Source organism: Homo sapiens, chromosome 9, assembly GCF_000001405.40.
Source record: "Homo sapiens chromosome 9, GRCh38.p14 Primary Assembly".
NCBI classification, from domain to species: domain Eukaryota; kingdom Metazoa; phylum Chordata; class Mammalia; order Primates; family Hominidae; genus Homo; species Homo sapiens.
The window spans coordinates 98,373,538-98,401,130 of NC_000009.12; the positions used below are offsets into that span (position 1 = coordinate 98,373,538).

At 48.9% G+C, this 27,593-nt stretch overlaps 1 protein-coding gene across 4 annotated transcripts in view, besides 5 other annotated features; it reads right to left on the bottom strand.

Moving 5' to 3' along the window:
* The window catches only part of GABBR2 (gamma-aminobutyric acid type B receptor subunit 2), a 420,827-nt gene that overhangs the window by 85,429 nt on the left and 307,805 nt on the right, over positions 1-27,593 (bottom strand). For all 4 annotated transcript variants that reach the window (NM_005458.8, XM_017015331.3, XM_005252316.6 and 1 more), the window contains 3 exons: positions 20,638-20,718; positions 15,317-15,467; positions 12,103-12,235 (listed from right to left, as the gene is read on the bottom strand). In NM_005458.8, coding sequence (NP_005449.5) covers positions 12,103-12,235; positions 15,317-15,467; positions 20,638-20,718 — 365 coding nt within the window. The remainder of the gene's footprint in view (positions 1-12,102; positions 12,236-15,316; positions 15,468-20,637; positions 20,719-27,593) is intronic.
* Positions 1,570-1,864: a silencer, noted in NCBI's record as "tiled region #1904; HepG2 Repressive non-DNase unmatched - State 23:Low". NCBI's record gives its function as "represses a minimal TATA promoter and a strong SV40 promoter by Sharpr-MPRA in HepG2 cells {active_cell/tissue: HepG2}" and the evidence as "EXISTENCE:reporter gene assay evidence [ECO:0000049][PMID:27701403]".
* Positions 1,871-1,930: an enhancer, noted in NCBI's record as "active region_28697". NCBI's record gives its function as "activates an Ori minimal core promoter by ATAC-STARR-seq in GM12878 lymphoblastoid cells {active_cell/tissue: GM12878}" and the evidence as "EXISTENCE:reporter gene assay evidence [ECO:0000049][PMID:35858748]".
* Positions 15,271-15,449: a silencer, noted in NCBI's record as "fragment chr9:101151090-101151268 (GRCh37/hg19 assembly coordinates)". NCBI's record gives its function as "represses an EF-1alpha promoter that drives an FKBP-Casp9 reporter gene in an ReSE screen in HepG2 liver carcinoma cells {active_cell/tissue: HepG2}" and the evidence as "EXISTENCE:reporter gene assay evidence [ECO:0000049][PMID:32094911]".
* Positions 22,616-23,291: an enhancer, noted in NCBI's record as "H3K27ac-H3K4me1 hESC enhancer chr9:101158435-101159110 (GRCh37/hg19 assembly coordinates)". NCBI's record gives its function as "activates a minimal SCP1, AML or CMV promoter by ChIP-STARR-seq in primed H9 embryonic stem cells {active_cell/tissue: H9 hESC(primed)}" and the evidence as "EXISTENCE:reporter gene assay evidence [ECO:0000049][PMID:30033119]".
* Positions 23,292-23,967: an enhancer, noted in NCBI's record as "H3K27ac-H3K4me1 hESC enhancer chr9:101159111-101159786 (GRCh37/hg19 assembly coordinates)". NCBI's record gives its function as "activates a minimal SCP1, AML or CMV promoter by ChIP-STARR-seq in primed H9 embryonic stem cells {active_cell/tissue: H9 hESC(primed)}" and the evidence as "EXISTENCE:reporter gene assay evidence [ECO:0000049][PMID:30033119]".

The window sequence follows — 27,593 nt, forward strand, 5'->3', positions numbered from 1 at the left end:
TCATCTACACCTAGGAGCCGGATGTCAAAGGACCAGGACACACCCAGAGGGGGTAGCTGACCAACCTGTAACACCCTCCAGGGACCTCAGCACACTTGTAAAGCTAATTTAGTGACATGACTGTTAAGACCAATGGTCTACAGCATTTTTGATAACATTCTCTTGAACATGTTTAATTTTACAAATGACCATATACAGACCATGGGCATTTTAAAAAGGACAAAGATGAAGTAATATCATCATTTTTACCTCATCCTGTGGCTGACAAAGATCTATTTTGAGGAGATGTGTCACTCCAGTGTGCAAAGCATTCCTTTTTTTTTTTTTTTTTTTTTTTTGAGATGAGATCTTGCTCTGTCCCTCAGGCTGGAGTACAGTGGTACAATCACAGCTCATTTCAGCCTCCATCTCCAGAGCTCAAACAATCCTCCCACCTCAGTCTCCTGAGTATCTGGGACTGCAGGCATGCACCACCATGCCCAGCTAATTTTTTTGATTTTTAGTAGAGACGAAATCTTGCTATATTGCCCAGGCTGGTCTTGAACCCCTGAACTCAAGTGATCCTCCTGCCTCGGCCTCTCAAAATGTTGGGAGTACAGGCAAGAGCCACTGCACCTGGCCTTGGTGTGCAAGCATTCTTAATATTTGCTTTGACTTAGGTTTTCTTTGAAACAATCATTTCCAGGCCACTTGTCTATTTTGTGAGGGCTAAATTCACTCAATCATATAATTAGTCAAGTTAGTTAAAATTCAATAATATAAATTTAATCTGGCATCTGGAAACTGCAATATGTTGCCATAAACTAAAAGCGAAGAATAGCTGAGGATGCCTGGGCAGAAAAGAGTTAACATAGCAGGCCTGAGACTGTTATCTTTAGAAAGGTCTGATTTGAAGGTTGGTCCTTGGCTGGTATCTGAGAGCTTGGATTCTGGACAGTTCCCACCATCCCCTCAATGATAAGAGCAGCTCACTGTGCCTGAACTGGTTGTGCAAACAACGTGGTTTATGCTGAACACTGCCTTCCTTCTGGGAGTCTGGAATTTTGTTACATAGTAGGCAGACGGTGTCGACATATCCATCCTCCGACTAAAAACCCTGGGCGTGTCATCTCTAATGTGCTTCCCTAGGCAGCATTTCACACATGTGGTCGCTACTCATTGCTGGGGGACTTAAGCGTGTCCTGTGCTCCTCCGCTGTGATAGGGCTATCAGAAGCTGCCACCTGGTTTCCCCTGGACTTTGCCTCCCCACGTGCCTTTTCCTTTGCTGATATTGCTGTGTATTCTTTCAGTGTAATAAGTCATAGCTGCGAGTATGACTGTGTGCTGAGCCCTGAGAGTCCTAGTGAATCATTGAACTTGGGGGTTGTCTTGGAGACTCTCAATGCTGCATCCCATTGCTGTCTGGTGTAGAGAACTGACCAACCACCTTGTCTCTGGGAGCATTCCTGCATACAATCACCAGACACCTACTGCCAGGGCTCCACAGTGAGTCCCCATATTAAGTGTTACTCCAGCTTAAGTTTCTGGGATTTAAACCCATCGCTGCCCCACAGAGCCCTCAGGTTAAACTCCAAATTCTTAGCAGGCAGGGTGCAGCCCCCTCTACCTTACCTCTTCTGATATTTCTCAAACCATCCTGCCCTGCTCAGTCTTTCCCCTCACATCACACTGGCTCATGCTGCCGGGTCTGACACGCGCTGTTTCCTCCACCCAAAATGCCATTCCTTGTTCTTCACAACTTCTCATGCATCCTCTGAAATCCAAACTTGTGAGCCACTTCCTCTGAGAAGCCCACTGAGACCTTGCAGGGAGGTCATGACTACTTCCTCCTCATGACTTCTGCCTTCAAGCATGTTTCTGCTCTGCTGGTCACACAGAGATGACATCTATCTGATTACCTGTCTGCCTCTCCCACTAGATGAAGCTACTGGGAGGCAGGGCCTGCTTTGCCCACCTTTAAATCTCTGGAGCCAAGAGGAGACAATCAGACTGGATGGGCCAGTTTAGGAGGTCATGAACTCTTTGTCACCACAGATGTGCAAGTTGAGCCTGAGCAAGCAAATTAAAGGAAGACCACAGAGAGAACTGGAGCATTTGATAGCAAAAGAGGCTGAGTTCATGGCCTCAGCTGCCCCTTCCACATGCTGTCTGACAGGTAGTGAGCTCCCCATCACTCCACATATTCAAGCAAAGCTTGGAAGACTCCCCCCCTTCTCCCCCTCCATCAGAATGCTCCAGGGGCATTTCCTGCACTGAGGGAGGTTTCATTTAATGACATCCCAGGTGCCTCCCTTCTATGTGGCTCTATGATGCCAAGTAAACGAGAAGGTTTCATCTGAAGGGTTCTAATGATTCTGTTTTCCAATATGTTACCACCAATACAAGTCTCTACTGGTTCGTCAACACCAAATAGCTACTTCACTTTTTCTCCTAAAGTCTTACGTGTGTTTATTTTTCTGATTTAACATCTTTCTTTTTCTCCCCTTAGCCATCAGGTACTCAGCCCCCTCTGCGAACTGCCTTGAACATAATCCATCCATGGGGGAAGACAAACTTTAGGCAGGTAGTGCCCATCTCAGTCCCAGCTATGAAAAAGGAAAAAGAAATGAGAGCAAGTCTCCAAATGGAAGGAAAAATCTATGCCCAGAACAATTCTGCTCAGCCGCTTGCTCCATTGATTTCATGAAGCATGCCTGGGAGGGTGAAGGGCTTTCACTGCCCTTCTGGGGATCAACATGAAAATGGACATACAACCTCTGCTGGCAGGCCTGTTCTGACAGATGACGCATGGGACTGCTGTGCTCCGGGTCTCCTTGTTGCCACAGATTCATGTGGGCTTCAGGCCAGCAAGTCAGATGGAAGAGCAAGCCCTGGTGGCTGGCTGGACACAGGGGCAAGTCACTTTCCTGCTGTCCAAAAGGTTCTCTCAAGGGCCTTTTACTTCATTCTGACTGCTCATCCTAGGTGCTCAATAGTGAGAAGGAGGGAAGAAACTCCCAGAGCGCCCCAAAGCAAGCCCCAGAGCACTGTGAGGTATGAGGTGGGGAAGCTGAGAGGCCTGAGGTCTCCAGGGCCCATCTTGTCTTCTAGGGCAAGGGCGACAGATAAATCCTCAAGTTATAAGACTCTGAAGAGCAGCCTCTAGAAACAGCCCCAGAAGACCCCGTCTTGCTCAGGGTCTTCTGGGTAAGACCTGTATAGAAAATCTTCTCTGGAGCTTAGAGTACAGCAGAGCCTTTCTGGGGGAACGGTGCAGGGGGCAAAGGTGACTCAGGACCCACAGGAGTACTTTGGAACCCGAGTCAGGGCCTAGGGGCCATCTTAGAAGCCTTGGGGCAAATCAGAGAGAGGTTTCTCCTCTGGGAGGAGAAATTTCTGAAAGGCACCCCGTCTGGGCCCTTTCTGAAGGACTCCACTCCTCAAGGCCCTTGAAGCCAACAAACTCCAAGAACTTGGCTCAAAGACCCGATCACAGGCCGAAATTCAGCTCCTGCCCCTGAAGCCAACACCCTTGTGTAGTGCAGAAAGTGCACAACTGCCCTTGGCAGCCTTGGCTCAGGCCACAGAACAATGCAGAATGAGCAAGAGGCCTTTCTTCCTGTTCCCCCACAACCCCAGAAGGTGCCTCAGGACTGGAGGTTGGGGAGCTTTTTGGAAACGCAGCATTCTCAGATGGGTAGTGGCAGGAGGGGGTGGGGTGTGGTGGGGAGGGGGCTGCTGTGTGCCTTCATACAGCTCTGTGGACAGAAGACGTGGACAAGTGGGCGTCAGGGCCAGAGAGGAAGGACTGAGTGGCCACACCATGTGATTGCAGCTGTTGAGAATTCTGTGGGCAAGTATGGTGTATCATTTAGGACTTCCAGAAATAACTGGAGCTCACTCAGAGGGGTCCCTTATTTTAAGTCTTCCCTGATTTGTCCCTTGCTTCTGGGCCTTACCCACTCCCCTAGGCCTGTCTCTGCCAGTGTACACAACATAGTAAATGGGAACTGTTTGTTTACTTAGGTTTTCAATCTACACTGCCAGCTCCTCGAGGACCATGCTCTGTGCCTAGCAGGTGCCTGGGAATGTTATCATATGAATGAATGAATTGTGGGAACAAGAGTGCTGAGCAGAGCCAGGGGTTGGAGTGGCCCACATGTGGGGTGTCTGGAAGGGAGGCCATCATCTGCTTATTGGCTCAGGAGTCTGGGGAGTCCCTGGTTCCCCACTCAGCCCCCTCCTCTGGAAGGGAGTTGGGGGTGGGGAGGCCACTGTCATCAAGCGGGCATCTGTACCCCATCCAGGACTCCAGTTGGCCCAATCAGGCCCTGTGACAGCCAGTCCCTGTGACCCTCTCCTTGAGCTGGTCTGGACCTGCCAGGCAAGGCCACCACCAAACCCTGTGGGTATCTCCTAGCCCAGCCTTCCTGCTGCCTTCTGAAATCACAAAGCATGTTACCATGGCCAGCCATGACAGCCACCTGCAGAAACAGCCCCAAACCCACATTATTACATTGTTTTACTTCTCAACTGCCTCAAAAAGAAAACCCCATGCAACAACAACAACAAAACCACAGATTTATGGCCTTTTAACTAAAAATGTTTCATTAATTCCTACCAGACTTGAATTTACTGGGAGGCCAAGTGGGTGTTCCTAGGCAGCCTTTACCTTTCTAGTTAGAGTTAGAAAATCCCAGTACCTCTAGGAGGGCAGGAAGAGGGCATCACACTCCCCAGTCCAGTGTCTGGGCCTCCCCTGCCCCACCCCTGCCTAGCTGCCATCCATCTGAGCAGAGTGAAGAGGCCGAAGGGGTGCTTCGGGACTCGAACCCCACCCTGCCAGCTGTGATGGAACCGCCCTGCTTCCCGAGGTTCGAGGGTGGGGGCCACAATCCAGTGTCTTCCAGCCCAGGAGCTCCTTCCCTCCCACAGCTGGGCCCCAGGAGACCAGGCTTCTGGTGCTCCCATTTATCTTACACAATCAGTCTCCAAGAGACAAACACAAAAATAAAGCATCAGGTACTAATCTTATCCCTGCTCTTCCAAGTGCGGTCTGGGGATGTGGCATCAGCATCCCCTGAGAGTGTGTCAGGAATGCAGAGGCCCCCTTCTAGACCCGCTGCATTCCATCCAGACCCCCAGGTGGCTCAGTGCACACTGAGTAGCACTGTCTGTGCATGCAGGAGCTGGGATGGGGGCCACCCTTTGGCAAGGGGAGGAGGGTTGGGGCAGATAGGAACCAGAAGGAGACAGGGAGGGCCTCTGGGATGCTGATAAGGTCCTGCTTCTTGATATGGATCCTGGATTCACAGTTGAGTTCAGTTTGTGAAAATTCACTGAGTGCCACACTTATAATATACATACTTTTTTTAAGTAGAAAAGTAGATAAAAGAGTTGGGGTGGTCAGCAAGTAGAGGCAGCTGGGAGCTAAAGCTGAGTCACGCTCTTCTGAGCGTCCCTCAGGGCAGCCCTGGGCCAAACTGGCTTCTTAGGCCAGATTCCAACCACTACATGGCCGCAGCATCCTCAGAGGTCCCGTCTGTGTCATTCTTACCTCCCTTGCTGCCTGCCCCAAAGCCCCTTTCAGCACTCAAGGTGGCAGAGGCAACCACCAGCTTGGCTTTGACTTAGGCAGGACCCAAGTCTGTTCCCGCCCCAGTTTTGGTAGAGCAAGGCCACAGAAGGCCAGAAGTTGCCATGGGTACCTACACCAAGCTGGCCAGCATCAACCGGTTTTCCCAGCCTCTTCTTTTTTATCTTTTTTTGAGACAGGGTCTCCCTCTGTCACCCAGGCTAGAGTACAGTGGCACGATCTTGGCTCACTGCAACCTCTGCTTCCCAGGTTCAAGTGATTCTCCTGCCTCAGCCTCCTGAGTAGCTGGGACTATAGGCGTCTGCCACCATGCCTGGCTAATCTTTGTATTTTTAGTAGAGATGGGATTTTACTATGTTGGCCAGGTTGGCCTCGAACTCCTGACCTTAGGTGATCCACCCGCCTCAGCTTCCCAAAGTGCTGGGATTACAGGCATGAGCCACCGCACCTGGCCTCCCAGCCTCTTTATCCCAAGTTTACTCTGCTTTATCAGTGTCTCTCTTAATGGTATCCAGAGGTGAACACAATTATCCAGACATAGTCCCATCATTCGTTCATACATAATGATAACAGCTAAGATGTATGAAGCCTTACTGTGTGACAGGCACTAGATGCTTTACATACATGATCTCATTTAATCCTCACAACCCTATTATTATCATCCCCATTTTACAGAAGAGGAAACTAAGGTTCAGAGATGTTAAATAGGGTAAACAAAAGCCACTGAATTGTACACATTAAAAGGGCAAAATTTATGGTATGTGGATTATATCTTAATTTAAAAAAATCTGAGACAAAAATTTTGGTAATATTGGCTGGGATAGGTGGTTACCAGATCCCTAAGAACTTAGTTGACTTTTTTTTTTTTTCTGGTATAAGCCAGCTAATAAAAAATCAGAATAGTCTTGCTTTCTAATGAAACATCTCAATCATCTTTGTGGTCCAACAGAGCTAGTTTTAAACTTCTTCCCTGCTGCCTAGCAGTGTGTGACAGGGCTTCCGTTTTCTGCTCCGTCAGGTGGGGACAGTGAACTTGGCCTTGTCAGGTGGTTGTGAACGAAAGGCTGCCCCTGGCTGAAAGCTGGCCTTGGTGACTCGCAGAGGCTGAGGGCACAGGCTCGGGAGTTAACAGGAAGCTGTTACTACCCCACGCCCAGGAATGCTTCTGAGAGCCCAGGAAGCTGCGTGAGGCCCACGCTGGGATCTAAGGTCCGCCTGGAGCCTCCTCATCCTGTCTGCAAAGCCCCTTCTTACTCCTCCCCCGCTCGAGCTGGGGTTTCTGCCTCAGATCCACAAGGAAGGCAAGTGCTTTTTCTCATCCCCACCTGCTGGACTCCTTGTCTGGGCAGACAGGGGCTGGGATCCCAGAGCCGGGTCAGCTCAGCTGCCGGGGTCCATCCCTTCCCCCTGGCACTGGGGCCCTGGCCACGCCCAGCACTGTCCTTGCAGACAGCTCCACGTCCACAGGGGCCACGTTGCTATGGTGACTCCACTACCCGCACAGTGTCCAGGGAGACAGCACGGGGTATAGCTGGAGCTGTTCTCAAGACTTGGAGAAACCGGCACTGACAGTCTGGGAAGATTCTGGAAAGGGTCAGAGGGAGTGGGGGATGGGAACTAAGAGAAACTGCATCCCTAGGAGTAGCACTGTGTGTGGGTGAATCTGTGTGCACGCACTCACACACGCACCCACCCTCGTCCGAGCAGAGGTGTAGCCCCTAGAGAGGCCTAATCTTGTGACTGTCATAGGTTTCTGCCTGAGGGGGTATTCATGGTTTCTCACTGTGTTAAGCTGCTATTTTGAAAACTAAAAGGGAGAAAAAAGCGGCATGTATATGGCAGCAGAGCAGACAGAACTGTGACTTCGGCTGCGCCATGTCTGAACCTGGTCTCATGGTCTACCTTGTCCCCTGTCCTTTAAGATTTACAGAACCCAGTGTGGGACACCAGGAAATTACACTGTGACGAGGATGCAAGGTGACAAGCTGTGATGCCTATCCCTCCTCCTACATCCCTCCATGCAGCACTCTCCCTGAGTTCCAGGCGGCTTGTCTGAATCGTCTTGTTTAACCCACACTGCAATCCTGCAGAGGGAAAACTGTTATGCTCATTTTACAGATGAGAAAACTGAGGTTAAGTCACTTGCTGCAGTCAGGAGCTAGTAAGTGGAGGAGGTGGCAGTCGAATGCAGGCTGTTGTTGGAAGATCCGTGATCACTACACCATAGGGGCCTGCTTCTCCTTGCAGCTCCCCACTCGGTGGGAGTTTGCTGGGAGCAGCCTTCTAGGTCCGAAGGACAGAATCCATGGCACCAAGTGAAATTAAGGAGCTGCCCACCCTGGAATAGCAGGTGGAATACAACCCAAATTGTACCCATCAGGCACTGGTACTTAGGCCCTAAATTCAAGAGCTTTCACTTCCTCTTCCTGGGCAATATTGAGAATTAGTAAATAAATGGCCCCAGCCCTAACCCATGTACACCTCTGTGCTGACCCGATTCAGTCCGGGGTAGATAATCTATGCCTTTTCCCCACAGTCATGCATGTGGACTCCCCTTTGTAGAGCTTCTAAAACAGCCTTGACTGCAAATAAATTAATTCTCAGGGGCAGCAAGAACTGGGCCCTAATATCTTTTCGGGCCCTCATTTTCAGAGCCGATGCTGATTTGTAAAGCGCTTTATGATTTATTCATATCAGCCTTCCCCGGCTTCCCAGGACAACCTTCCCCTCACACAAATGAGCGTGACTCCCAGAATAGAACATCAGGCTTCATTAAAAAGAAAAGCCCTGGGTGTGGGGGATGTCCCTGTTTTTGCTCCCTAGCCTGCGTCACCCTGTGGTTGTTGAATTCAGGTCAAACTTGAGAAAGCACCTGTGCTTTCATAGCCTTTGGCTTGTGAACAAGGCGAGATGTCAGGAACTTCTTTCTGGGAAGGAGAGAGTTTCTAAAGGCTGGGCAGCCCTTCATGTCTGCTGCAGGAATCTCTGCAGTGAAGATTGAATGCCTCAGGACACCTGAGGCATTCCCAGGTGTCCAACAGCAAGTGATGAGGAGATGGGCAGAGTGGCCCCCGGGAAGGACTGGGGCCATGGCAGAATGAGGGTAGGGTTTTGCTCCACCGGTTCTCAACCTGGGGAACAAGGCAAGCCCCTTGCCTCTCAGGGATGCCACTGAGAAACTGGAGTTGCCAAACTTGCCCCCAGTATCTTTTTTTTTGAGACCGAGTCTCGCTCTGTCGCCCAGGCAGGAGTGCAGTGGCACGATCTCGGCTCACTGCAAGCTCCGCCTCCCAGGTTCACGCCATTCTCCTGCCTCAGCCTCCTGAGTAGCTGGGACTACAGGCGCCCGCCACCTCGCCCAGCTAATTTTTTGTATTTTTAAGTAGAGATGGGGTTTGCCATGTTGGCCAGGTTGGTCTTGAACTCCTGGCTCCAGGTGATCTACCCGCCTCGGCCTCCCAAAGTGCTGGGATTATAAGCATGAGCCACTGCACCCGGCCCCAGTACCATTTCCATTACTGTAATCATCACTGTGTCCTAAAACTTGGGGAGGAAGCCTAAGCACAGATGGAAGAGAGAAATCCTCACTTTCCTCGTTTAACTTCATCAGGGTCCCTCAGGAGCAACCTTTTATTCAGGCCTCACCACTGCCCAGGAAAGCTGACCATAAATAAATTGTATGCCCATGAAATTGTTAGGCATCTCAGGGCACAAAAGTCATGCTGATGTAGGAATATCAGAGACTCAGTGGCCTTCACACTTCCACTAAAACTAGCGAGACTTCCATGCGCTTTGGTTATCATTCTCATGCCAGAAGGCCACCCTTGTTTTTTTCTTTTTTTTGAGATGGAGTTTCACTCCTGTGGCCCAGGCTGGGGTGCCATGGCGTGATCTCGGCTCACTGTAACCCCTGCCTCCCAGGTTCAAGCGATTCTCCTGCCCTCAGCCTCCTGAGTAGCTGGGATTACAGGCATGCGCCTCCATGCCCGGCTAATTTTGTATTTTTAGTAGAGATGGGGTTTCTCCATGTTGGTCAGGCTGGTCTTGAACTCCTGACCTCGGGTGATCTGCCTGCCTCAGCCTCTCAAAGTGCTGGGATTATAGGTGTGAGCCACTGCACCTTGCCCCAGGAGGCCATACTCTTTAGAGAACAACCCCACTGAACCACACCCACAAGGACTTTTGAGAAGCTCAGCTTCTTTGGAAGCTGACTGCAGGCACAGTGAAGCCAGGGACTTGCATCTTTTGTATTCACCTTCTTCACTCCCAGACGGGCAGAATAATGGGAATTAGTCTCATGCCAGAAGGCCATACTCTTTTGATCTTTTGGTGGGAATGAGCCAGTGCCAGGCTTGGAGTGAAAAACTCTTGAGTGGGAAGAGTGAACCAAGTGACCCTGGAGCACTGGGGTTTGACAGTCATGCAGGTCCCTCCAGGAGAGGAGAGGGGCCTGAACACACCAGTGACCTCACTACCCCCTCAGTTACTGGGGACTCGACCACACACTTCTCAAGGCACTGCCCAATTGAGGATAAAGTAAATGTATCTGTAGACCTCTCTCTGGCTAGACAGCTCACAGTGAAGTTACTGGTAACAGGAACAATTTCTCGATGATGTGTAACAGTCAGTCCAGTTTAATCATTCGCAGAAATCCTGGGAGCAAAATCCCCTAGACTGTAAGATCTTGGGGGGCTTCCCTTCTTTCCATGTGCTGTCCCAGAGCAGAGGGACTGGCCTGGACTCAGTCCTCAAAATCTGGGGTGTGAGTGGGGACTTGCAGCACATTTAAAGGGTGCTTCGTTTAAGCATCCCTCACTGCTAGCCTTCAGCCCTCATCATCCAGCAGTGGGCAACACTGAGGCTTGTGAGCAACAAATGCAGTCTAAAAAAGGCTGCTTTGCAAAAAAGGGCCCACAGTGCTCTCAACGTCTTGAAAGAAAACAGCACCAACAAAGGAGTGGCTTTTGGATGAATCCACTCAGCACCGATCTTTTGACCATCCCCTCTAGCTCTGGTCTTCCAGGCAGGGGACTGGATGAATTACTGCATGTGGGACTCTAAAGAGACCCAGCTGGCTAACCCCATTTGGACAGATCATAGTCAATGTCCAGAAATACATCCCAACTGATTACTTTATTCTTAAAAAGTAAGTTCATGATATTTTCAACTGAGAGTTAGTTCCATAAAACTATTAAGTGATTGCTAATACATAACCCCCTTTAAAAAAATAACTAGGGAGGCCGAGGCAGGCAGATCACCTGAGGTCGGGAGTTCGAGACCATCCTGACCAACATGGAGAAACCCCGTCTCTACTAAAAATATAAAATTAGCTGGGCATGGTGGTGCATGCCTGTAGTCCCAGCTACTCAGGAGGCTGAGGCAGGAGAATCACTTGAACCCAGGAGGCGGAGGTTGCAGTGAGCTGAGATCATACCATTGCACTCCAGCCTGGGCAACAAGAGTGAAACTCTGTCTCCAAAAAAACCCAAAAAACAAAAAAAAATAAAAGGCATTTCTTTAGGCATTAAACTTTTTAACATGTTAATTAACTTTAAAAATAATCTTTCTAATGTATAGTAAATTAGTTACACTGCTTTGGACTTCATTAAATATATATATATCTCAATAGGGATGATACAGCCCCCTTGGGGGCAACTGTTGGTTCTTGAATGTGAAGAAACATTACTCTTTTTTACGTATAAACCATAGATATATATATAAAGTACACAAACAGATATACATTACATTTCTGGTATTAAACTTTCATAAGAGGAATCATTAGGAAAAAATGTCTAAAAATGCTCCTTAGGGGAACAATAAGGAAAAAACCGTTGAAGAAAACACCACTTAAATAGAAAATAACAATTATAGCTTTTACCATATAACTCAGTCAGACATACAAAGATCTATCGTCATATTCTTTGATGGTTTTTGAGGTAGATGGGAGGATCTGTTCCTTCTTAAACGATCCTGACCCTGACTCTGACCCTTGGCGCTGATGCTTTTCTGGAAGATAATATTTTTCCCCTCCTTTTCTATGTTACTCTGTCAATTCTCAGTGGGCTCTCTTCTAACAGTGGCCTGGTAAGTCCAGTATCTTTATTTCCGAGACAGGGTCTTTCTCTGTTTCCCAGGCTGGGGCACAGTGACGCGATCACAACTCACTGCAACCTTGATCTTTGGGCTCAAGCAATCCTCCCTCCTCAGCCTCCTGAGAAGATGGGACTACAGGTGTACACCAGCATGCCTGGCTAATTTTTTTTTGTATTTTTTGTAGAGACAGGGTTTCACCATGTTGCCCGGGCTGGAAGTCCATTATCTTAACTTTGTAGGTGGTATTTATACCCAGTGATGGCCTGACAGTAACACCGTTCTTCCCTGTTGAGTTGAAAACTACTAAATGGGTTGTTCCCTGCCTGTTCATGTATTTTCATGTATTTCTGGGTTTGCATCTGTGTTTTCGATGACTGAGGTCACCAAGGAAACTTTCTATCATATACCACTGGCTTATGCAGAATGACTTACGGTGCAAAGTGTTTCAAAGGTCTTTTCAGAGACAAAGGATCCATCAAGGCCAAAGAGAAATATGGAAGCATAGGAGAGCATCCCTCCAAGGATGATAAGGTTGTTCATGTATGGACTCGACATCTTTATGAGCCTGACAAGAGAAAGAGACAATAGATTTAACAGAATGGTTAATTTAGTTATTCCTTCAACAGGTATTTTCTAAACGCCTGCTAGATATATATTGTTGCTCAGGCTAGAGGGGAGAGAGAGAAACAGAAATACGCCATGGGGCCTCAGGGGACACATCAGCAGGAAGTCCCACATTTCTAGTCAGATTTTCCCCAACACCCAGGTGCTCACTCTGGAACCTTCCCCTTACAGAGAAATAATGAAAAGCTCTGGTTTCCTCTACCCTCCTCCCCACCTACTGTTTGTCCTTCACTAAAAGACCTCAGACAACTATATATTTCTAATTGTTGATTTCCCTGCCTCCTTTGTCAAGTTCACCTATTACTTCCCAAGGGACAGCTTGTCACATCAGCTTCTTCATCCATTAATTTTCAGTTTAAACAAAAGCATTAAGTCAACAGGTTTTTTTTTTTTTTTTTGGCTGGAACTAAGAACTCATGTCAAATCTAGAGAATGTGACATGTAACTTCAGCCACGTTCCCCACAGTGAGGAGAAAGTCCCATACCACACTCCCCAGCCTTGAGTAGACCATGTCAAGGAGGCCTAACTGTGAGTCTCAGGGTTGCTTAGGAAAGCTCACACTGTTCCGTGCACAAAGACAGCCACACATGTGGGCAGGAATACCTCTCCCAGTCACCGGGTGACAGAGGGAGACACCAGAGTCCGCAACCCACCCACTACCCCTGTCTTCACTAGGCTGCAGTGGGGAGCAGGGAGCATTCTTTATACTTCCAGACGCTGCATCCTTCTCTGTCATTTCCTCCCGGAACCCTGTGGTGGCCTCCAGCTGCCCAGCAAGCCAGGGTCATCAGTGGGCTTGTAGGTGCCTGGCCCCCCCAGCACAATCAGCTCAGAAGGGCTTCAGGTTTTAGGCGCCCTGTGGTTGAGGGGCTCTTTTGCAGACTGTAATTACAGCCAATTGTTCCCCAACATTTTCCTTTGCATTCTCCAGTTCTGTTAACCCTTCACATTTTAAACATGCAATACGTCAAAGGGAGAGGGAAATAAGAAGCCTGCTGCTCTTCCTCTGTGAACTGCACCCCGGCTTTCAAGTTGGGAGCAGGGGGTCCAGGGCTTAGACTCGGCCACTCCATAAAAGTGACACCTTGACAAATCACTTAGCCTGGCTGAATTTCCTCACCTGTATAACTGATCCTGTTGCCTTGGACACACATGAAGCTGAGATGACGCTGGGTCCTTGGAGGTCCTTTTGTAAACCGTGAACTACTTAGGTGCCTCAATTCTTATTACTACAGCAGTCAGGGGAGGGGAGAGCCTGGGGGTTGGGGCAGGCTTCCCAGAGGAGGTGGGCCTTATAGGATGGATTTAGGAAGACAGAAGTAGGGGGAGGGATTGGGAACCATAGCAATATTTTTTTTCTATCTTTCTGCAGATTTTTAAATAGCCAAGCCAGTTAAAAAACAAGACAAAACAAAACAAAAAACTTCACCTGGATGCCAGCCTCTTGAAAAGAGTAATGGTAACTTTCCCCCAGGAGGCCAAGAGGGGGTAGTTAAGGAATTCAATGAGTTTAGTCTTATGATGGGGCAACTTGCTGTCCTGATGGGACTTCTCGAGGCATCTGGGCTGTCAATCTAACTTTGAGAGCTGATTATGTGCCCAGGCCTGTGCCAAGTGCTAAGAGGTATGTTGAGCATTTAAGGTTTGTATGGAGTGGACAAAAGTTGCCTCACTTTTTTTTGTGGCAGTATATGTGCTATTTGTTGTAAGTAAAATAAAATAACAGGAGAAGAAAACTCTTTTCTGTTTTTCAGGAAATAGGTTTGACCTAAGCAACTGCTATCAAAAAAAGCCAAACAAACAACAAAATAACCCCGGACACAGTGGCTCATGCCTCTAATTCCAGCAACTTGGGAGGCTGAGGCAGGAGGATCGCTTGAGTCCAGGAGTTTGAGAAAAGCCTAGGCAGCATAGTGAGACTGTCTCTTAAAAAAGTAAAATAAAATAAAATAAATTAATTAAAATAATTAATTAATTAATTAAAAAACCAAGCACACACACAAAAGTCTAGAGCCTCCAAATTCCTTCTTTGCAAGCAGGGAGAAATTTAAAAATCTCAAAAACCAAAAAAACTGTTTTCTTCAGAATCAGACTTGTTCCCGACAGCCCACGAGTTCATGCAATGTGGCTTCTGGGCACCATGGCAGAGCCATGGCACCATGTAGGTGGTCACTGTGGCTGTCCCCATGACGGCCCATGCTCTGCACCCCTGCTTATTCCACAAAAAGGCTTGGGGCTGGGTTCAGGGATTTGCTATGGACACCAAAGAAGCAAAATGCACTTGGTAAAAACCACCGCCTGGAGTGGCGGCCTGTTCTACCCATGACTGACCAGAATAACTCAGTCAGCCTCTCTCCTCTGGAGAATTAAGGGCACGTGGTGGGGAAAAGAAATTAAGACAAGAAACCAAGAAGACAGTCTGCCACGAGTGGACAGCAGCACTCTGTCGCTGAACTTCAGGGCTTTTCTCTGTGAAATGAGGAGTTATCCGGAGGGTCATACGGGATGATGGAAGGGAGGGCTTCCTGGCCGTAATGAACTGTACCAATGGGAGTCCATTTCACTGGACTTTGTGACCCCCTTCAGTGGTGATTCCCAGCGATGCTAGGGGATAGGGGCAAAGAAGTTTGGGGTATTCTGTCTTCTATATCTCTCCTCCTGGACCTCCACAAAGTACAGGAGTATATCCAAAGCTCTGAGAAGGCCCGTGGACTTGGACTCTTCGATTTTATTTAACTTCCTCAAACTTATTTGACTAAACTCCTGTGCAACCAGCAGCCTGGCCTCTGTGTGTGTGTGTGTGTGTGTGTGTGTGTGTGTGTGTGTGTGCGTGCACGCACACACACGTACTCACATGCATGTAACACCTACAACATCCTAGCAACGGAGGAACACTTTGGGAAACTCTGCCCTGCAGACTTCTGTGTCCCTGGGGAATCTGTCATGTGGCACTCCTATACTGTGTCCATAGGCTTGTCAATTTAGAAAGTGATATCACAGAGGAGGACCAGGGTGGCTTACTTCTGATTCCGGTTCTTGATGTTGAAGAAGAGAAAAGCACTGGCCATGATCATCCCGAGGATGGTGAGGGCAGAGAGGATGCTGTAGAGAGGTAGGGAGATCTTCCGCAGCTGCTCCAGGATGATGGTCTTGTCTTTTGGTGGTTCGGATCCTAGAGGATCAAGAGAAGACATCAGTGGGACCCAATGCAAGTCATTCCCCGAGAACACCTTTGCCTTAGTGTCCCTGACATCCAGCCAGGCCCTGCGCACAAACTCTACACAAGGCACATCTATCTACCGGGTGAGCCAGATCCGGTGGTTGGCCAGTCTGCTCAACAGGGAGCCTGAGCTAGGACTGTATTTCTTTCTCTAAATAGAATCAATAAAGGATTTGTGATGCATTTAATAGCCATTAGAAGACTAGAATTTGATTTGGTCTAATTACACTATTGAAAAACCATCACCATTTATCCCCCAAGGCAACAACGGCCTGGAAGCACAGGGCTGGGTGATGTGAGTGGGTACCCGTGGGTGCCTTCGGGGATGAAGAACTTGGCTTTGGCCTCAAGATCTCTGCTCCTAAACATACACAATAAATGATCCCTCCTCAACAGGATGGACACCTTGCCTGTTGGTTCCATGGTGACACATAGGTGTTTTGGCTGCAGAATTTCTGCTTCAATGTCATTGTGTTTTAAAAGCTCTATCTGGCTTTCTGTTTCCACAAGACTCTGAGTAACTGTGGGAGGCAGAAGCTACCTTCCTCTCCCTGCTGTGCCAGAACTGGCCTGGAACTGTGGGATTCCATTTCTCTATGTGACTGCAGAGGTGCGCTGCTCATTCTTCAAGAGCACAAGGAACTCGGGGGAACCCTGAGGGTTTCAGAGCAAATCCATCTTTCAGTCCTGTTTTAGTTTTAGCAGACATAGACTGGTTTGGGATGAGGGATTCAGGGACTCCCCCAGCTTCCTGCGAATCCCTCTTTCTTAGCTGCTATTTTAGGTCAGGTTTCTGCTGTGGAATTGTGAAACTTCAGGGCTTTTCTCTCCAGTAGGGGTATGTGGAATCAGCCGGATGTTACAAAGTAGCCAAGCCTGGGAATCTGGGAGCCCCACCAGGGTCCCAGTTATGCCTCTCTTCCCAGGAGACAAGCAGGAAAGGGGCAGATGTGGTAGCAGGGAGTGAGAACTCCCCTGAACATCTGGGTTTAAAACACTGCTAGCAAGTTCAAATGTGTTTAGAAATATTCAGTGGCTTTGGCTGAGCGTGGTGGCTCATGCCTGTAATCCCAGCACTTTGGGAGGCCAAGGCGGGTGGATCACTTGAGGTCAGGAGCTCGAGACCAGCCTGGCCAACATGGGGAAACCCCGTCTCTACCGAAAATACGAAAATAGCTGGGTGTGCTGGTGCACACCTGTAGTCCCAGATACTCGGGAGACTGAGGCAGGAAAATCGCTTGAACCCAGGAGATGGAGGCTGCAGTGAGCCAAGATTATGCCACTGCACTCCAGCCTGGGTGACAGAGCAAGACTCCATCTCACAAAAAAAAAAAAAAAAAAAAAAAAAAATAGAGAGCGAGAAACATTCAGTGGATTAAAAGAGTTTGAACCATGTAAGAAATTTAGGAAAGTTTCCAGGTTTGAAAACATCAAGGAACCTGCTGATGTGGTTAATGTGAAGCCTTAAGCAATTCCATGTAAACTAACATTTATAAGAAAAGTGGCATCAAGGGCCAAAAGTCTGGGCTAAAGCAGACACAAGGAGATGGAGGTAACATCATTTCTTGCTTCCAGATGGTGAAAGCTCACCATCTGGAAGCTTCTTCCACCTCTGTCCATCATCCTTCCCCAAACACCTGGCTCAGGTGCCTTCTGGCTACCAAATGCAAGAACAGTGCTGGGGCATCTGTGAGATCCTGGCTGGAAACAAGCCCTTCTATGGACACTGAGAAAGAAGACTGAGGTTTGGTTCACAGGTGATATGATCACTACTGGGTTTGGGGCCTATTGTATAGAAACAACTCCAGAAAATTGACAATAGACAAGAGAAAGTTGTCTCCTTCTTACTCCTTCTTCTGTTCCTGCAAAATGATGGCTCCACAAGGGGTATTAAGACTTTGTGGAAACCAAATGCTTGGTTTATCATGAGTATTAGTAACAGCAGAAGTCCTGAGTTTTCTTTCTCACTTTTCATCTGGTCCATTCATTCATTATTCATCCATTCATTGCCATTCACTCATTCATTCATCATTAATGATGATTAATCACAATTAATAATCAACTCCCATCTGTCAGGCCTGAGACTGAGCACCAATGATACAAAGATGAAAAATACACTGTCCCTGCCTTCAGGGAACTTACACACTAGCCATAGGAAAAAAGAAAAAAGCACTAATAAGCAATCCTATTTATTGAATGCCTATGACAAGCTAAGCAAGATACAGAGATTTTCCCACTTGATCCACCCAACAGCCTCAGGGGTAGTTAAGATTATTATCATTTGACAGAGGGGACAATGGTTTTCTAGGTGTTAAGTGGCTCTTACAGCTAGTAAGTGGCAGGATTTGAACTCAGATCTGCCTAACCCTGAAGCTTATGGTCTAACTACTACACAAACTGCTGCCCGTGACGCTGGGGTCCAGGTGATGTGATAACATCAGACAGGAGGCCTGAGAGCGAGCAGGGAGCAGAGTGCAGTCCTGCCTGACGGGGTAAGGAAATGCTACAGAAAGGAGGTGACGAAGGAGCTGAGTCTCGAAGGATGAGTAGAGTAGTTGGCTGTTGGCCAGGAAGATGAGAAGGAAAGAGCATCCTGGGCAGAAGGCACAGCATGAGCCAAGGCCCAGTGGTGTTTCAGGACAGTTGAGGAACTGTAAGCAGTTTAGTTGGGGGGAATCTGAGAGAGGAGACAGAGAAGCGAGGAGGGGTCCCTTCATGGAGGCCTTGGGGCCACAGCTCAGAGTGAGGTCCCCTCGCTCTGAGCAGTGGGGACGTGCGGGGCTCTGAGCAGAGGTGGCATCTTAAGCCTGGCATGACAGCAAGGGCACTTTGGCTGCTGAGGGCAGAATGGATTGAGGAGGGAAGGCTAGCACAGCTGTGAGAAGCCTCACTGGGGGCTAGTGTAGGGGTCCGAGTGAGCGGGGCTGAGAGCTGAACCCAGGCCAGGTGTGGATAGAAGGCCTGGGCTCTGCCCTGACCTGCCTGGGCTCTGTGTTCAGAGGCTGATTATTCACGGTCTTGGTAGTGGGGAAGGTCTGAGAAGCAGGAAGTATGCCTGGCACAGCGGCTTCCTGTGTTCTCTCAGCCTGGGGGCAGAGCCCGGGGCTGAAAGGCAGGGCCTGGGCATCACCAATGAAGACCTGGTACCCTCTGACTGTTGTTTAGCCACTGTCCTGGCTACTGGTCCCTGCCCCACCAAATTCGTGTTTTTCCTGTAAGTTGTATTTTGTGTCTTTTATTTGTTTGGCGCTTGAATCTTTTCTTCAATTCGTAAACCCAGAGTCCTTGTTCAGTAAACCCTGATCTCCCCAGTCCGATAGCAGACATGCCGATCTTGGGGATCAGGGCTCTGGTGGTTACAACAGGCTGTGTGAATCTGGGGTGTCACCCTTGAGGTAATACTTGACGATATGTCTGGTGACAGCTCCCTCAGTTGGGATAGGGAGGCTCACCTGAGTGTGGAGACCATTCTGGTTCTCAGAGGCTGACTGGAGTTTTGCTTTGCAATGTTCTCAAGGCTGAATCCCTCAGGTCCAGTGGAAATATAGGAACATGACAGAGTCTAATCAAAGGGCCTGCGGAAGAGCCTTCTCTGGTGCCCTTGCTTTAAAGAAGGAACTTAAAAGCTCCTGGCACAGAAAGCCAGCTGTCCCAATTTCTGCTGACCCACTGGAATCAAAGTAACAATATGGATGTGGCAGCTTTCTCTATTGCTATTAAGTGACTAGACTGTCTGTTTGTCCATCCGTCCATCCACTGTCCATCTGTCTACTCATCCACTCACCCTCCTATACATCTATCTATCCACTACCCATTCATCCATCCATCCACTTGATCAATTCATCCATCCATCTACACAGCCATCCATCTGTCCACCCATCTACCTGTCCATCTATCCACTCACCCACCCACCCAACCCACCCACCTATCCATCTATCCATCCATCCGCCCATTCACACACCCATCCATGCATCCACCCATCCATCCATCCATCCATCCATCCATCCATCCATCCATCCACACACCCACTCATCCACCCAACCATCCATCCATCCACTCATCCACTCATCCACCCAACCATCCATCCATCCACTCATCCACCAACCCATCCATCCATCCATCCATCCATCCATCTATCCATCCACTTGATCAATTCATCTATCCATCTACCCAGCCATCCATCTGTCCACCCATCTACCTGTCCATCTATCCACTCACCCACCCACCCACATACCTATCCATCTATCCATCCATCTGCCCATTCACACACCCATCCAGGCATCCACCCAACCATCCATCCATCCATCCATCCATCCACACACCCACTCATCCACCCAACCATCCATCCATCCACTCATCCACCAGCCCAACCTTCCATCCATCCATCCATCCACACACCCACTCATCCACCCAACCATCCATCCATCCACTCATCCACCAGCCCACCCACCCATCCATCCATCCACTTGATCAATTCATTTTGTCATTAAATACCACCAAGTCTCCAACATGCATCAGACCTTGGCTGGTGCCAGGAATTTAAAGTTAAATAGGATCCAGTCAGGGGCTCATAGCTGAATCACCTAGTAATATCAATGTAAAGTGACAGTGGCCATAAGAGAGGCAGAGAAGAAAGACTGGAAGCAAAGAGAAGGGAGTCATTAGCTCAGTTGGATGGCAATTAAGGAAGATCGCACAGAAGAGGTGTCATTTGAGCTGGTTATAGAAGCTGAAGAGGAGTTCTCTAGCAGAGGAGAAGAAATAATCTTCTAGGAAGAGCAGCAGATAGACAGGCCTTATTTCCAACCCAGTCAAACCCTTTGCCAGAGGAGAAGATAGACCTAAATTTAGCAGGGCTACATTTAAAAAGAATTACTCCTGGCCATCCAATGGTTTAAACACCTCAGTGTGCACTTCATACAAACTCTAGTGACCCATGCCAGGTGCTGGAGCCCATACAAGTGATTGGAGCCCTGTGCTCAACGATTGAGTGCATGTGTTGAGGATGTTCCCTTGACCCCCTGAAGCCAAGGATGCTGAGCTTGTCCCTAACCCTTAGACAATGTCCAGGCTTGGGAGCAACTGGGCAGGCCCCCTCCTCTGAGAAGCCCACCTGCCTTACCTTGGAACCTGATGGTGTCATTGATGATCTCCAGTGTGTCGGCCACAGCGTTGTACTCTCCCACCTTCACCTCCCTGCTGTCTGTGGGGAGCAAAAGACAGTGGCCAGTTAGACTGGGATCTGGGTTTGTGTCTGGGTGCTCCTATTCCAGGCTCTTGCTCCCCTCACAGGCCCTGGATATATTCTGGCAGGCTTCCCTTTCTCCAATGCCTCTTCTGGTTAGAATCACAAAACTTCTAACCTGATCTAGGCTGGAACATTCTCTTGCATTGTCTCTGTCTCATCAACTGGTTGTCCATCCTTTGCTTCACACCTCAAAGATGGGGAGCCCAGGCTCCCTACAACTGTACTCTGTCTGGTACCAAGTTCTTCCTGGTCACTGAGCTGAAATGTTTCCCTGTAACATTCCCCCTGCTCAACTGGCTCTGCCCTCTAGAACCACACAGACCATTTTTGCTCCATCTTCCCTAGGATAGGCCCAGATACTTGAAGACAAAGACAGGTCAGTCTGCTGATACCACCCCCCAACTCCTCTTTACAGAACAGCACTTCAATCTCCCTGCTCCCCCACCCCAGCCCCTCCTTGGGCCACATTCCATAAAGTCAGTCTTTCTGTAGAGTGTAGATCCAAGGACTGACCAGTGCACTTTTGGCATGATTTGGTCAGCAGCAAGTAGAGGCCACCATCCCTTCCCTCATTCTGGAGTTCACATTGCTATTATATGCATCCTTAGGTTGAATTTGCATCTTTCAGAAGCCACATTGCTCTGCTGTGTCATACTAAGCATAATCTCCCACTGCTCTTGGCTCCTTGCACTTGTTCAGTGTGTTTTTAAACCCAAGTGGTGCATTCAAATTTACTCTCAACCTTCTTACAGTTCTTGGTGTGTTTAGTTCATTGTTTTGGTCATCGTCAAGGATAAAGATGATGAGGACTGGCCCAGAGTGGTGGCAGAAGAAATGGAAATGGGGATCAGATTTAAGCAAGGTTTCTTTTTTCCAGGTAAAATCAGGACAACTGAGTGATCAAATGGGAGATGAAGAAGAGGGGGACCAAGGTCATCCAAGGTTCTGGTGGGGATGAGGAGTTTCAGTTCCCATCCCTGAGCAGAGAACCCAGGAGGGCTTCAAATACAAGGGGAAGAATAATGAGTTCCATCTTGGATGTGCTGAGCCTGGGATGCCTGTGGAGCATCAAGGCAGAGATGCTCTTGAGTCTAGAGCTGAGGGGAGAGGTGTGGCTGGGGGGCGAGCAGGAGTCATCGGCATGGAAGATGGGAATCGGAGTTGGAGGCAGGAATGAGACCCCCAGGGAAAGTGAGCCAAGTGAAAAGAGGAGAGGATCAAGTGCAGACTCTGGAGGAGCCCTGACCCCTGGGGTGGGCAGAGCAGAGACTGGGAAGGGGTGACCAGGATGCAGGAGCAGGGTGTTGGGAGGGAGTGGGCATCTTAGAAGCCAAGGAAAGGCACACCTTCACCATGGAGCTGGCTGCAGTGTCACATGCCACAGAGAGGCTGGGAGAAGACCCTTGAGCAGGGTCTGAGGATCTGGCATCTGGGAGGATACCAGCGAACATGGATGAAGCAGATTTAGGGAAAGGTTGTGGTTAGAAGGATGGAGCAAGGGGCAGTGAGTTTGAGGGCAGGGATAGGGCCCCCAGGGAAGAGCAGGCTTGAGAATGGTGGGGAGCAGGTAGGAAGGGCTGGGGGTACTGACCGAGCCTCTATAGTGTGCTGGATCAGTGCTATTTTATGTACATTTTCTTGCCTAGCTAAAACAGTGTGTGGAGTAGGTGGTCTCAGTCCCACTTAAAGACAAGGAGACGGAGGCTCAGACAGCTTGTGGCTTTGCCTAGGGCCCCAGTGGTAATAAGAATAGAGGCCAGACTCAAACCCTGGACATTTTCCATAGCCCATGCTCTTCCCTGACACGGGGGTGCCTTGATGGGATTCCTGAGAGGTGACAGTTTGTGCCGAGTGCCCACTTCATGGACCACCTGTGCCTCGTGAATGTGGGAAGCACAAAGAGGAGGATTGTCCACCCATCCCCAGATGAAAGCCTCTGTGAAGTGCAGGCGGGTCCCTTCCAGAGCTGCAGACCCTGGCCAGCAAAATGCCTGGAGTTTATATAGGAATTCCAAGGCACACCCTGAGGAAGTGCCTCCTGGGGCTCTAGCTCTAAGGGAATTTCTTTGCAGAAATGCAGGTGCACTGCTGGCCCTTAGAAACATTCAGAAAACAGAACAGGGAATCCCCTGGGCCACACTTCTGCCTGTGTTCCTCTGACCGTGGGTGGTGGAAACAGGGGCTGTAAAAGTCACTTCCTTCTCCCCACAAGGGTCCTCGCCATTTAGGGGGCATCACACTGCGCAAGCGGCTGTTGCTTACCTGGGTCACCCGGCCCCTAAATGTCACATTAGCAGAATCTGCTGGGGGGCTCCAGCATCCCTGCTTTGGCCTTTTGAAGTCCTGAGCCCTGCAGATGCCCCAATCAGGTCCTGCTGCTCAGAGGAGGCCCTGATTTATTTATTTGAGGCAGGGAGGCAGCGCATGAAATATGCAGGTTGATCAGAATCAATCATCAAGAGTGGGGAATGGTGTGGCTGGCACCCCACCGCACCCCGGCCACACAGCCTGCCCCTCTGACTCACATACGCTGCTGTATGCACCGTCCCATGGCACTGAAATAATACTCAGCTTCCCACCGACCGTAATCACCATAATCTCTCCCTGGGGGCAATGTTGGAGGCTCACAGGCGCTTCACAAGTTCCTGCATTTAATGCTCATGGCAAACCATGAATTGGGCATAATTCATCCTGGTCTAAAGAGGCAGGAGGAGCCTCAAATAGGTTAAGTACCCACTCAGAGCCAAGTGCTCAGCAGCGACCCAGTGGGCAACTGAACATGGGTCTCCTAGTTCTGAATTCAGCATACTTTTACCCCCATACTGAGCAGGGCTGCCAATCATTCAGCCCACATTTGTTGAGTGCCTACTGCATGCCAGGCTCAGCTCATGGTATTTCATGATAAAGCATCTCTCAAAAGCAGCACTGCAGGTGGTGGGAAGTTAAAGTCATTCCCGTGTCCTCAAGCCAGGTGGCCTTGGACATCCTGGATGCTGGAGAGATGTTGATACTAAATCCTCTAGTTTTATCATTTCATTCATTCATTCAACAAACATTACTGGACACCCATTACGTGCCAGGCTCTGGGCTAGGGGCCAGAGATACAGAGATTTTTTTTTTAAATCACAATTTCAGATCTTGCATGACTGTATCTGTAAACTGGGAACTTTAGAATTGATAAGAGGGTTAAAGACGAGAATATATGCCAAGTTCCTAGCTTGGAACCTAACTCACGGTAAGTGTCCAATAAATTACGGTTATTTTATTCATGATGAAAGTAACTGTGGGCTCTATGTGAAGTTCCCAAGAAATATCTTCATATTTTCTTCCTGCCATCTGTTCCTCACCATGGTTCCTCCACTTGGGAGGTGGCTTTCCCTCCCTTTAACAAGTTAACCTGTCCAAACCCTACCTGCCTCTTCCAGGAAGCCTTCCCTGAGTACTGTTCCTCCCCTCCCGGTGTCCTAGTTGCTGTGGACTCAGGGCTCTGTGCATGACAGCTCTTCACGTAGAAGCCATGTCCTGTGTGTGTCCAGGGCTTCTGATTCCTGCTGGCTAGCCTTGCTTCTGTTGTCCCAGGCAGTATAAGGTCTCATCCCCTGCACTCTGCTCAGGGTGCCTCCTGGGTCTGCAGATGGAAGGACTGTGTCCCCTGTATTCTTGCATTCACCCACAGTCCAGCCAGGTGGTAGCCATGATAGGCACACAGCCCTCTCAGCTTTTAACTCTTGGGCTTGTTAACTCCACCGTGCAAACAAGGTCAACCGGTCTATATGTGGATATGTCTATATCCAGTCTGTATCCAATTTTATTTGGGGTGGGTGTAATAACTGCCAGGGGTAGACTTGTCTTCTCACTTGGTTCTGGCTCCAAATTGGGGGAGCCAGAATGTGTCCTTTAGAATTTGATTGTTGTTGAAAACACGCACACTGAGACACAATGTATAACTCTGGGGTATGAAACAAAAGATGATCTTGGCTCAACAAAAATAAAAGATTCTATAAATGTACTCAATTCTAGGACCCACCCCCCAAACTCAGGCATAGAAAAGAGCTCTGAGCTAGAAGACAGGAGCCCCCAAGCTGGTGCTGGCTTTGCGGTCACTCTGAGTAGCCCTGGGGAAGTCCCATCCCCAACCTGGGTCTTGCTAAGTGAGGGGGCTGCATGGGAGATCTCTGTAGCCCCAAACTCCTGTTCAATGATGCTGCAATTGCTTGGAAAGGTCCTCCTCATTCCAAGCTAAAACCTGCTCTGTGTGACGTCCCCTCATGGGTCCTGGGTCTGTGCTGGGGCCCCAGATCACTTCGGCTCCTGCTCCTGACCATCCTTCAGACTTGGAATCTGGCAACCATGGGCCTCAACTCTGCTCTTCCCCAGGATGAACAGCCATTTCTCAGGAAGTGATTTTTCACTTCCACCCCATCCCAATCTGCTCCCTCTCCCTCTCCCAGCATTACCTCTCAGCAGCATAGAACAGAGACAGACTTTGTGCTCTACTGTCACAAACAATACGCTATTGCCATATTTTTCATAAGTTTAGTTAACTGACCTTTGTTTTGAGATTTTTAACAGGCTAGGTGGACATTGGCCAAATACCCTGGGGTACAGTAACTGCCAGGGGTAGATGTGTCCATCGATCTAGGCAAACTGGCCCAAGGACAAGAGCTAAGTACCTGAGGGGACCCAGGTCATATGCAATAGGCTGTCTGCCCCAGGAGCACTTTTTCTCTTCTTCTTGGCAACCTCCCTCAGGTCCTTCAGAATTCATCTTGGGGCCGGGTGTAGTGGCTCATGCCTGTAATCCCAGCACTTTGGGAGGCCGAGGTGGGCAGATCATGAGGTCAGGAGTTGAAGACCAGCCTGGCCAACATGGTGAAACCCCGTCTCTACTAAAAATACTAAAATTAGCCAGGCACGGTGGCACGTGCCTGTAATCTTGGCTATTTGGGAGGCTGAGGCAGGAGAATTGCTTGAACCTGGGACGGATGTTGCAGTGGGCTGAGATTGTGCCACTGTACTCCAGCCTGGGTGACAAAGCAAGACTCCATCTCAAAAAAAAAAAAAAAAAGAATTCATCTTGGATGCCACTGCTCTCAGATATCCTTCCTAGATTCTGCCAGGTAGACCTGAGTGCCCTCCTCTGAATGCCCACAGCTGCCTGTGCCATCACTTATCACGCATCACACTTTGCTGTTGTCTGTGTCTACTCCTCATTGCACTGGATGGGCTGTGGGCTCCCTGAGGGCAAGGATTGCATCTTACCCTACTCAGCCCCACCAACCCCCATACCCAACCAGTGCCAGCCAGCACCTGGCAGGTAGGGGGTCACCTGCTAGGAGTGACAGGAAATAATTGTTGAGAAACTTCAAAAGCACAAACCTTAGGACAAAAACCAAAAGGGTTTATCTACATCAAAATTAAGAACTTGAAGGCTCAACCAGGACTTGAAGGTAGTTTATAGACAAGTGACAGAATGGGAGAAGATACTTGCAAAGCCTAAAGCCAATAAGGGATTGATATCTAGCTTATGTAAGGAACTTCTGCAGACCAACAAGAAAAAGACAGTAACTTCAAAATAAAAATGGTCAAAGGGCTGGGTGCGGTGGCTCACACCTGTGATCTCAGCACTTTGGGAGGCTGAGACAGCAGGAGGATCGCTTCAGGCCACGAGTTTGAGACCTGCTTGGGCAACATAGCGAGACTCCCACCTCCATGAAAAAAAAAAAAAAAAAAACCTAGCCAGGCATGGTGGTGCACGCCTGTAGTTCAGCTACTTGGGAGGCTGAGGAAGGAGGATGGCTTACACCTGGGAGTTCAAGGCTGCAATGAGCTATGATTGTGCCACTGTAGTACTCCACCCCAGGCAACAGAGGGAGACCCTGCCTTTTTTTTTTTTAAAAAAAAAAGAAAAAAAGAAAAGAAAAAAGATCAAAGGATCAGAACAGACAATTAACAAATGACTAATAAGCACAGAAAGAAATATCCAAACTCATTAGGAATCAGAGAAACGATACGTAAAGTCACAATATGATATTACTTTATACTTTTAGACCGTCAAAAAATGAGGGATCCAGGAAATCCCAAATGTGGGTGGTAGGTAGGGACACAGGAATCCTCTGCCAGTGGGTGTGGATATGGGCAAGGCCATTCTGCAGAGCAACCTGGCAGGTTTTGGGCATGTTCAATGTGCACACAGATTCTGACTCAGCAATTCTGCTCTTGGAAACCTGTCCTAAGGAAATTCCCAGTTGGGTCCATAAGGGAACATATATAAGGACATGTATTATTTGTGAGGGTGGAGAGTTGAAAGTGACCTGGGTGTCCGTCCCAGGGGCCTGGATGGGTGAAGTGATGGATGCACCCCACCATGGCTCCTGCAGGGAGCAGGGAGGAGCCATGCCTAGAAGCACACCCAGGACCATGGAGATGTCTTTAGAAACAAAGTGTTGAGTGGAAAAAACAAAACAGAACAGAAAAGATACCTAAGCCAGTGGCACTGATGTACGGAGCAACACGCATCTTGCAAGCACACACACAAACACAATATGGGGTGTTTGCCTTTCCTTGGGGGAGGTAGGAGTGGGATATGGGAATAAAGGAGGGAAATAAGGGGGATAAATGGACACACAAGAGGGACTTTCATGGACCAACGACAATGACTGCCCATGAAATGAGGTGTGCGAATTGTGTCCTAAAGAAGCGCGACTGCACTTTTCTCAAGAAATTCCTCGGGGGAGAGTGTAAATCTGGGGTCACTGTTAAGAGTGCCCAAGAGAGAAGGAAGCCAACAGTTGTTATGACCCTTCTCTGTGCCAGTCCCCGAGACAGGA